The sequence below is a fragment of the Homo sapiens genome, chromosome 13, assembly GCF_000001405.40.
Source record: "Homo sapiens chromosome 13, GRCh38.p14 Primary Assembly".
Classification (NCBI taxonomy): Eukaryota; Metazoa; Chordata; class Mammalia; order Primates; family Hominidae; genus Homo; species Homo sapiens.
Window position 1 is genome coordinate 66861651 of NC_000013.11, and position 11002 is coordinate 66872652.

The 11002-nt window shown below is 34.7% G+C and overlaps 1 protein-coding gene and 1 long non-coding RNA gene across 6 annotated transcripts in view; one reads left to right on the forward strand and one right to left on the reverse strand.

The window, feature by feature from the left end:
- Positions 1 to 11002, reverse strand: part of PCDH9 (protocadherin 9) — a 927503-nt gene that overhangs the window by 558817 nt on the left and 357684 nt on the right. The window lies entirely within an intron of this gene.
- Positions 1 to 11002, forward strand: part of PCDH9-AS2 (PCDH9 antisense RNA 2) — an 89863-nt gene that overhangs the window by 36482 nt on the left and 42379 nt on the right. The window lies entirely within an intron of this gene.

The following is an 11002-nucleotide window of genomic DNA, read 5'->3' on the forward strand; positions in this document are numbered from 1 at the left end:
CTCTGGACAGTAAATGCCTCCAGTGGGCCATGTTGCTTCCATTACATACAACTCACCCATTATTTTTAACTCTAAGAAAAATATTTTAATATTTCCATAGCTTTACATGTCTATAAATAAATAAAATGGCACTACTTTCAGAGAAATGAAATAGTGCCGACATTATACTTCATACACTACCATTAACAAAATCACAGGACAAAGAAAGAAATTCACATCTGTATTGAAGTTGACGGTTTCAAGCCCTTGTGGAAAAAAAAATATTGTTATACATTTTTATCTCCTCTCTTTTCTCTTGCAATCCCAATTTTATAAAAGAAAGACTGCTGCAAAAGTGAGAACAAAATGAGAATTCCATAACCTAATTATGGACTTTAACAGTCTCATTTGTTGTTTGTGTCACATTGAACTTGCAGCAATATGCCATCATTAGTCATAGCAATATTATTCTAAACAGTATTAGCAGCATGGCTCTGTTACCTTTACATTAGCTTTGTAGTCATTTAAATAATATGTTCTCAAACTTCAATTACCAGTGCCTAACAATCTTTGGAGAAAGGGATGGTGCATGTCCAAGCATTTCTTTTTCTTATCTTGTGAGTGTTCTATTAGCTCAAAACAAAGTGCATGCAAGAAGAATCACTGCTGAAACCTTCAAGTCAGCAAAGCATCTACTCGTGGCATATGTCTATAGTGTGTGGGTGTAGGGTTGTAAAGCATGATATGTCTAGCAATTTTCAGAATCGAGAAATTGAGAAAAATACTGTTTTGTTAACTGAGCACCTATTTCCCTGTTATAGAGGAACAAAAAGATTTACATTCCCTGCATCATTGCTTATCACGGACTCCCATATTCTTCTGCTGTGTAGACAGCCTGCACCCCAATGCCTGTTAAATTTAAAACTCCTGCTTTAACTTGATATGGATAGATGTATTTTACTTTTGCTAGTTTTATAGTAGTGCAATGAAAATTAGTTGTTTATTCTTTATTAACTCTTTTTAAACTATCTGAAATGTAAACTGCTAAGGAAATGAAGTCCATTTTTTCCTAATTTACTGAATTTCAGTTGAGGGTCCCCTTCTCAAAAAGAATGACCTATGACTCATCATTGTTGTGTCTATCATTCTCAATTAATAGGTATGTGCCACTTATTCTGTATATTGTCATTTTAATAAACACCCCAGTAGAAAGAATAGTTATAAGATAGCATAATTTTTTTTAATAACAAAAGAAAAACTAAATATTGAAAAATGTATTATATATATTTTGGATATTTGGGAAAATAAAAATTTGTGTTTGTTTTTAGCAGTCCATCACAGGTAAGAAATTCTTATCTGTATAATATTGCATGTGTCTTAACAGTGGAATGTTTGAAAGTCACATTTTCAAGTACATAACATTCTATTTCTTTAAAAATAGTTGGTAACTTTAAAATATGTAAATATTTGTACTCAGAGGCGAATTTAAATGTACAATAGGGCTGCAGTAGTGTTAATAAACAAACAAAAGCAAGATACAAATAAAAACTGCTTAGATTTTAACTCTGGATCTGTTCTCTCTGGTAATGAAACTTTTAGAAAGTTGTCTAATCTATCTGGACTTCAGTTTTCTCATCTGTAAAGCAGTGGAAATAATAGTAACTACCTCAGAATTTGATTGTGAGGATTAATTGAGATAATGCATGGAAAATGCACTTAGTATACTGCCCAGCAAATAATAAATGATCATTAAACAAATCCCAGAAAATCGATTTATGAGTTTCAGTTGTTTAAATAAAACGTATGATTAAGTATATTTTGAAACTGACTTGGTATAATACCCATTTTTGTTTATTTGTTTTGTTTTGTTTTTCTGAGATGGAGTCTCACTCTGTCGCCCACCTGGAGTGCAGTGGCAGGATCTAGGCTCACTGCAAGTTCCGCCTCCCGGGTTCACGCCATTCTCTTGCCTCAGCCTCCCAAGTAGCTAGGATTACAGGCACCTGCCACCATGCCCAGCTAATTTGTTTGTATTTTTAGTAGAGACGGGGTTTCACCGTGTTAGCCAGATGGTCTTGATCTCCCGACCTCGTGATCTGCCCAAAGTGATCTGCCTCACAAAGTGAATACCAATTTTTTTAATGTAACTTTATGAACTGTGACATGCAAAATTTCTAGGGAAATTTTGGTACTATAAGACATCGTATTGGTCCGTTCTCCTGCTGCTCGTTTATAAATTACCCGAGACAGGGTAATTTATAAAGGAAAGAGGTTTAGTTGACTCACAGTTCAGCATGGCTTGGGAAGCCTCAGGAAACTTACAATTATGGTGAAATGGGAAGCAAACACGTTCTTCTTCACATGGTGGCAGCAAGGACAAGTGCCGAGTAAAAGGGGGAAAAGCCCCTTATAAAACCATTAGATCTTGTGCGAACTCATTACCTATCACGGAGGTAACTGCCCCCATAATTCAATTATCCTCCCAGGACACATGGGAATTATGGGAACTACAATTTAAGATGAGATCTGGGTGGGGACACAGCCAGAGCATATCAGATATTATGGGACATTATGATATAAAGATAGTTCATAGGATTATGAGAAGTCATAGTGAAAACATTCTGCATGGCATGTCTCATTTTGTTGGTCACAATGGCAATATTTCTGAGGTTCTTCTGTCATTCAGAACCATTCAGTTCCTGAGGTTCATGCCAGGCACCTCCCTCTCCTCAAAAAGGGGGGTGGGGGGCGTGAAAAGACAAAAGCAAATATCAGATGTTTTGACACAAGACCAACTTTATTCTAAAATCTGCATAGGCTTCTTTTTGGTGGTTGTGTTATCCTTTAAGTTATTTAATAACAGATGTGATTGTGGATGATTTACTCTCAATATCTCATTACATCACTATCAAAACACATTTCAAAATGTATTTGGACATTTAGAATGTTTGCTATATTTCACTTTATCCAAAATGTGTGAGCAAACTAATTTTCTCCATAGTCAAACTCTGCCCACTTTTTTCCTGCCCCCAAAATTTCTCTGGAATTCTCTCTTTCCCACTAATCACAAGGCTCATTTAGTGTTTTGCAGGTGGCTGGACTGCACTGCTTGTTTGTTTGTTTTAGAAGTGAAACTAGGAAGCATTAATCAGATCTGAGGGTGTTTTATTTTGTGCATCGTTTTAAAAATGCAAATAAACTTGAAAGCTGACCAGTTGCCTGGAAAGTAGCAAAAATGAACAGGTGTTGAACAAAAGTACTAAGAAAGAAAGCCCAGCACATGTTCTCAATCACTTTGCCGTGGTGAGAACCTGCAGGAAAGACGAGAACTACAGAAGGAGGACAAATACAAGAGAAAGAATTATGCCAAGATCTTTAAATCAAATTCTTCTCATTAAGTTTTGCAAATATATTAAAAATTAACAGTGTATATCCCTAAAACAGAATCTTCATACTTTTATGAAGTTTTTGCTTCATAAAATAAAGTTTTATTCTTTTCCAAAAGATACTGTCTAAATAGTTTGGAAACATGGCCAAAAATTTTAAAATGAATTTTTAGACGTGGTTAAAATATTTGACCCTTAAGTATATTACAGGCACATTAAAATCCGTTGTACTCATTATGGGCATTAATGGACACTTCAGGTATGTGGACACATTTGCCTCACAAGAGAATACTAATAATGTACCAACAGGCCATTCAATTCCAGGATGTTGTATTTCATTATTTTTATATATAGTCAAATTGTTCTTTACAATTTTAAACATTTCTTTTCATGCTGTCATTATCAATTGAATTTTGTTTTACTAAAATGACTAAATAATTTTATTCGAGTAAGTAGAACCTATGGAAAAATTATATCTTTTGATCCTTTTCAGCTTTTCTTTTACAGGGGCAGTTTTAATTATTTGATTTTTCCATTGGTCAGAAGTATTAGATAATAGACATTTGATAATTTCCAGTGGGTCTCTGCTAAGACACTTCACAAAATGTATCTTCCCTCTGGTGTAGGTATGCCTGATGAACATTACAGGGAGGGATGTGGGATGCATTGGAAATGTCCGCTTCCTTCGCACTGTCCTATGGTAAAGCCTCATTCCAGTGTGGTAGAGATCATTTTCATTTTATACTTCTTTCAAGTTACTTCCAAAGTAAACTCTTGAATTATGGCAGCTGTAACAGAATTTATATGTAGTAACATTAAGTTGTCAAGTTTTTTGAAAATGCACCTTTTCTGTTTTTACAAATAATTTGAATGAGAAATGTATATGGCCTGTGTAGAATTCAAGGCTATCCTTAAATTTCGTTGTATCAGGTTCATTCGTTTACCACACATTTTCATTTTTATTAAACTTTTCCATTTCTATACAAGAACAAATTGTGAATAGAAGCTGTGTGGCATATTGCTTTGCTATGGTGGGAGAAAAGTGAAACAAGAACATGAGAGAAAAAAAGGCGGGAATAAATATGTGCACACAATATTTGTTGAATCAGAATCACTTTAAACCTGTTCATCATCACTCTGTCTGGGCAATAAATGATGTTGGAGACAAAAATGTAAAACTTGCTCGGCCATGCGCGGTGACTCACGCCTGTAATCCCAGCACTTTGGGAGGCCGAGGTGGGCTGATCACGAGGTCAGGAGATAGAGACCATCCTGGCTAATACGGTGAAACCCCGTCTCTATTAAAAATACAAAAAATTAGCTGGGCATGGTGGCGGGCGCCTGTAGTCCCAGCTACTCGGGAGGCTGAGGAAAGAGAATGGCGGGAACCCGGGAGGCAGAGCTTGCAGTGAGCTGAGATTGCGCCACTGCACTCCAGCCTGGGGGACAGAGCGAGACTCAAAAATAAAAACAAAAACAAAAAAACAAAAACTTGCTCATGGCTGGGCATAGTGGTTCACGCCTGTAATCCCAGCACTTTGGGAGGCTGAGGTAGGCGGATCACTGAGATCAGGAGTTCCAGACCAGCCTGGCCACTATGGCGAAACCCCATCTTTACTAAAAATACAAAAATTAGCCGGCCGTGGTGGCGAGCGCCTATAGTCCCAGCTACTCAGGAAGCTGAGGCAGAAGAATCACTTGAACCCAGGATACGGAGGTTGCAATGAGCCAAAATTGTGCCACTGCACTCTAGCCTGGGAGACAGAGCGAGATTCTGTCTCAATAAAATAAAATAATAAAATAAAACAAAACTTGCTCACATGTATGTGGATACCATCATTTCACAGTAGAGAGATATATTTCTGACATTTCTGAAATACAGTAAGTCTTATAAGAAAGCACAATTCTTCTAACAAAATGGCATATTATTACTGGAAAACCAAACACTAACTGTGGATGGTTTTCAAATTGTTTATGTTAATGACCAAATCAGTTTCTTTCTTTTTTTTTTTTTTTGGCATTTAACAATTAATAGCGCTGAGGGCTGTATTGCTCTTTCAGTTTTGTATTTTGAGCTTTTTATTCTTGAACTCACACAGAAAGAGAAAACTAAAAGATAAATGATCATTCTCTTGTTAGTGGTTATCTCTCAGGTCCTAAGGATCCATTGCAAAGTAAGTGTTACTCACAGTTGGTCTTCATTTAAGTTAAAATCCCATTATACTATTTCCCAGTTTCTACTGAGGCACATATCTAAGGATTATTAATGTTCTCTCTGGTGATGTTTATGGATGCAGAAACAGGGAACAATTTGTCTCAATAAGAGAGACTAAGACTGTAGAATGATATTTGGGTATCTAAATATTTAAAATACCTAATTGCTTATCTCTAAGTAATATATCCTCCCTTTAGGGAGGCTGCAGTGTGTGATGTTGAGCTACTGAAAAGGACATAATTTAATATTTTCATATGAATGATCAAATGCAAAAGATAAAGCAGAGGTATGTATGTTTGATGAGAATAGCTATGAAAAAAACCTTAAAAACATAGAACGTGCTGAATAATTGAAAGTGGAACGAAAAATAATTTATTAACCCATGCTATTGAAAAATACAACCAAAATGTATTATCAAGGGATGTATATTAACCTATCATCTTTCTTTGACAACTTGGGTTTTGCTATTACCAAAAAGTAATCCTTTCAAAAACCTTATAATGTTCATAATGTGAATTTATAATGTAAATCATTTTGTTGGGATCAAGTATAGAATCTGACCCTACAAGTGTTATGAACTTTTTGAAAAAAATCCTTTTTTTTATCCTTCTGTCATTGTTTTTCATTTTCCTTTTAAAATCAAGCATAAAAAGCCTCCTGTTCTTTTTGTAAGTTGATGGGCAAATTAATGTGGATTTCAATTAATTTTATTCTGATTAAGTAAAAGCATACTTTATAGTATGTATTCATATAAATATAATTGGTAGATTGCTGAAATGTATATTATTTAAATAATAAATTAGCTAAAATTAAAATCTCTTTAAATAGGTTTCCTAGACTGATTTACTGTCATAATATAAATGACGAAATGTAATGAGTGATTCAAATTTCACTGATATAAAGTGACATCTGACAGTTAATACTGGGTTCCTGAAACTGCTGCTAAAATGTAATATGCAGTACAAATTTAGCATGGCTAAATTCAATACTAGTCTATGAAGATAACAGTACAACTGGGCAAATTAGGTAATTTTACCATGACAAAATTCTATAATTAGTTTTATAATTACATTTATTTACATGGTGAATTTTGATAACATTGACTAACTCGTTTTCAAGTCATCATCAAATTTTTTATAGAAGATAATATACAATTATAATGAAATACTAGAATCATTTATAATCATTGGCTGTGGTTTTCATATTCTCATAGATACATTTACACAAATTTACCAATGTACTTTTACATATTTTTAATAAATATTTGAGGAACATCAACCATGTGCAAAAAAATATTAAGAACTGAGAAAAAAAATGTGTTGGGTGTTCTGTGGAAGGTGTTCATACTATTTATCTGTCATCATGTGAAGAAAGAACATCACAGACATGAGCGCATAGTAAATAAAAACCAACGATAAATACTTTACCTGTGAAATTTGCCAGTGAAATAAATTTGCAGTAAAGTACAATGATTAAGAGACATATGACATGAAATTATGGCAAGAGTAGATTGAATCCTAGTTGGTAAATTTTGTTCACTTCAAGGCGAAGTTGGGAAAAATTAGTTGTATATCAGACTTAGTGAACAGATATTACATGCTTACCATTTGCCTGACACTTTGCTAGGAATTGTAGTTTTAAAACGTGAGAAAAATATGATTATCTTTGAGTAACTTACAGACTAGCATGATAAATATACGCTTAAGAACTGTATATAATAATGTAATATAAGCAAATGTGTTATGCTGTGGGAGAAAAATTTATTAATTCATAGGTTTGGCTCAACTGACTATACAATGAAATTCAGATTATATTAAACCACATAATATTTTCTTTTATGAGTTTACTCAATGAAAATAAGCATACATTCAGTATCTTTTCTCAGTCAGTCATGGTTCAAGACTGCCTATAGTAAGATGTCCTTCATCACAGTTCCTGGCCCCTCGCTAAAGATGGGACACTTGAAGAGGTGATTGAAAGGTGACAAAATTAAAGCTGATTTTAACAATTAACAGTAGTAGCAATGAAGAGTTTTAATAGTGTCCTTGCATTAAAAGAAACTTCATCATCATCATCATTGTCAAAACTGGCATTTCTTGAAGGCCTACAGTAGGCTAAATACTACTTGTATTTATTTGTTTTATTTTTGCAACCCTTCTAGGGAAGAAAACTGAAGCATCTTTTTCTCTTCTCTTTGAAGAGAGGTCAAAAAAATTTCCTAAGGTTTTACACCAGAAGCAAAAGAATTGGGATTTAAACATAGATTTCTTAGATTATAAAGACTGGAATGTTCCCTTTCTAAATTGTATTGTTTCCCATCTTTCTTTTTTGCCCATATGCTGTTCTCTAACATAATTATTTTGAACAATGATAATATTGATGCAAAAATCTGAGGACTTATTCTGCGTGTCTTTATGTTTAGTTGCTATAAAAGAACTGTTAAAAAATTAGACTGGTGTTTTATTGCTGGTGAAGTATGTGCTCATTCCACTTGAATTTGAGAAACCTCGTCAACAGCACCACGTCAACCCCCAGCACACAAACATATACACACTCCCTGTCACCCTTTTCTTACTTTGTTCACTACTATTTCCTTAGTAGCTAAAAGACTGGGATTAGAGAATCAAAAATATTTTGGGATGGAAGGAAAGAAGAGAAGTGAAGGTAAGAATGAGTCCACAGAGAGCAATCAAAATCAAAGTCTTACTTGTCAATTTTGGCTTTTGTTGCCATTGCTTTTGGTGTTTTAGACATGAAGTCCTTGCCCATCCCTATGTCCTGAATGGTAATGTCTAGGTTTTCTTCTAGGGTTTTTATGGTTTTAGGTCTAACATTTAAGTCTTTAATCCATCTTGAATTAACTTTTGTATAAGGTGTAAGGAAGGGATCCAGTTTCAGCTTCCTACATATGGCTAGCCAGTTTTCCCAGCACCATTTATTAAATGGGGAATCCTTTCCCCATTGCTTGTTTTTCTCAGGTTTGTCAAATATCAGATAGTTGTAGATATGCGGTGTTATTTCTGAGGGCTCTGTTCTGTTCCATTGATCTCTATCTCTGTTTTGGTACCAGTACCATGCTGTTTTGGTTACTGTAGCCTTGTAGTATAGTTTGAAGTCAGGTAGCATGATGCCTCCAGCTTTGTTCTTTTGACAAATGGGATCTAATTAAACTAAAGAGCTTCTTCACAGCAAAAGAAACTACCATCAGAGTGAACAGGCAACCTACAAAATGGGAGAAAATTCTTGCGACCTACTCTTCTGACAAAGGGCTAATATCCAGAATCTACAGTGAACTCAAACAAATTTACAAGAAAAAAACAAACAACCCCATCAAAAAGTGGGCAAAGGACATGAACAGACACTTTTCAAAAGAGGTTATTTATGCAGCCAAAAAACACATGAAAAAATGCTCATCATCACTGGCCATCAGAGAAATGCAAATCAAAACCACAGTGAGATACCATCTCACACCAGTTAGAATGGCAATCATTAAAAAGTCAGGAAACAACAGGTGCTGGAGAGGATGTGGAGAAATAGGAACACTTTGACACTGGTGGTGGGACTGTAAACTAGTTCAACCATTGTGGAAGTCAGTGTGGTGATTCCTCAGGGATCTAGAACTAGAAATACCATTTGACCCAGCCATCCCATTACTGGGTATATACCCAAAGGACTATAAATCATGCTGCTATAAAGACACATGCACACTTATGTTTACTGCGGCACTATTCACAATAGCAAAGACTTGGAACCAACCCAAATGTCCAACAATGATAGGCTGGATTAAGAAAATGTGGCACATATACACCATGGAATACTATGCAGCCATAAAAAATGATGAGTTCATGTCCTTTGTAGGGACATGGATGAAATTGGAAATCATCATTCTCAGTAAACTATCGCAAGAACAAAAAACCAAGCACCGCATATTCTCACTCATAGGTGGGAATTGAACAATGAGATCACATGGACACATGAAGGGGAACATCACACTCTGGGGACTGTTGTGGGGTGGGGGGATGGGGGAGGGATAGCATTAGGAGATATACCTAATGCTAAATGACAAGTTAATGGGTGCAGCACACCAGCATGGCACATGTATACATATGTAAATAACCTGCACATTGTGCACATGTACCCTAAAACTTAAAGTATAATAATAATAAAAAATAAAAATAAAAATAAAAAATAAATAAAATTAAAAAAAATCAAAGTCCTGTTCACACACGATACTCTTAAATTCCTCTTCACACAGAGGAGAAATTGAACATAAAGCATAAGAATAGTAAGATGATCATGATGGTCTACCGTAGTTAGTCCCTCTGTTACTTATTGCTTATTAATTATCACTTTTTGTGATGGTTTTCTAATTCATCCTTCTAAATCAGGATAAGATTAACATGTATTAATCCCTCTATCAATATGCAGCCAGATTGGTCTTCTACCGTACATGTATGGCACTGTCACTAACAGCTTAATGTTTACATTATATATATTTGTTATATGAGGCAAATCTTGATCTATCCTTGTGCAAATTTTCAGACCTATTTCCCGGCAGGCAGACAAAGTCAATGTATTTTCTAGCCTATTTCATTACCACCCCCCCCTCAACATTTCTTATTCTCTTTGTCTGAAACATACTCCTCTACTTTCATTGCATAACAAATTTAACCTTCCAGGCACAGGTTGAAATTTATCTCTATGGAATACCTTCTCCAAGCTCCACAGTTAGAATGAGCCACAATTCCTTTTACACATTTCCTCTGGAATATTTGTAAAACTGCATTTTGATTATTTTAACATGTCGTCTACTACTAGACTTTGAACTCTTATAGAACTGTCTGAAACAGCACTAGAGACTGAAGAGTCCCCATAAAGGACATATGACTAAATTATGAAAGTATATGCCAAATCTGAGGACAGTGTCAAAATTAATGATGTTGCTGATATATTGTAGATCTTTGACTTCAATATGGTGAAATATAGCTTTCATTATGTGCTTCAACTATGTTATTGCCAGATTTGGATGAGTATTAGTAAAAGCAATTTATTTTCATTGAGTTAGTGAGTCAATTCATAGGGCAACATAAGATTCTACTTTTTTTCCATCCAGAATTTTCACATGCCCTTTTCAATTCTAATTTTGATGGATAAAGTTGAAATAATTTTACCATATCTGGCTGTGCTCATGTCTTCAGCACACATCTAGCAAGGATATAATGTTTAGAGAAGCATTAAGCATACAGTAATTCTTTACAAAATCATACAGTCCTAGGAAAAGGAGCATAGTAAGTTAAAAAGTTTAAAAACAGCACGAAGAAATTTTATTAAAATTTAATAAAGGCTTTTTTTACAATAAATTGTGTCCTGTATTTATTCTCTTAAAACATTATTTCATATCTTTCATATTATATTCTTCAGT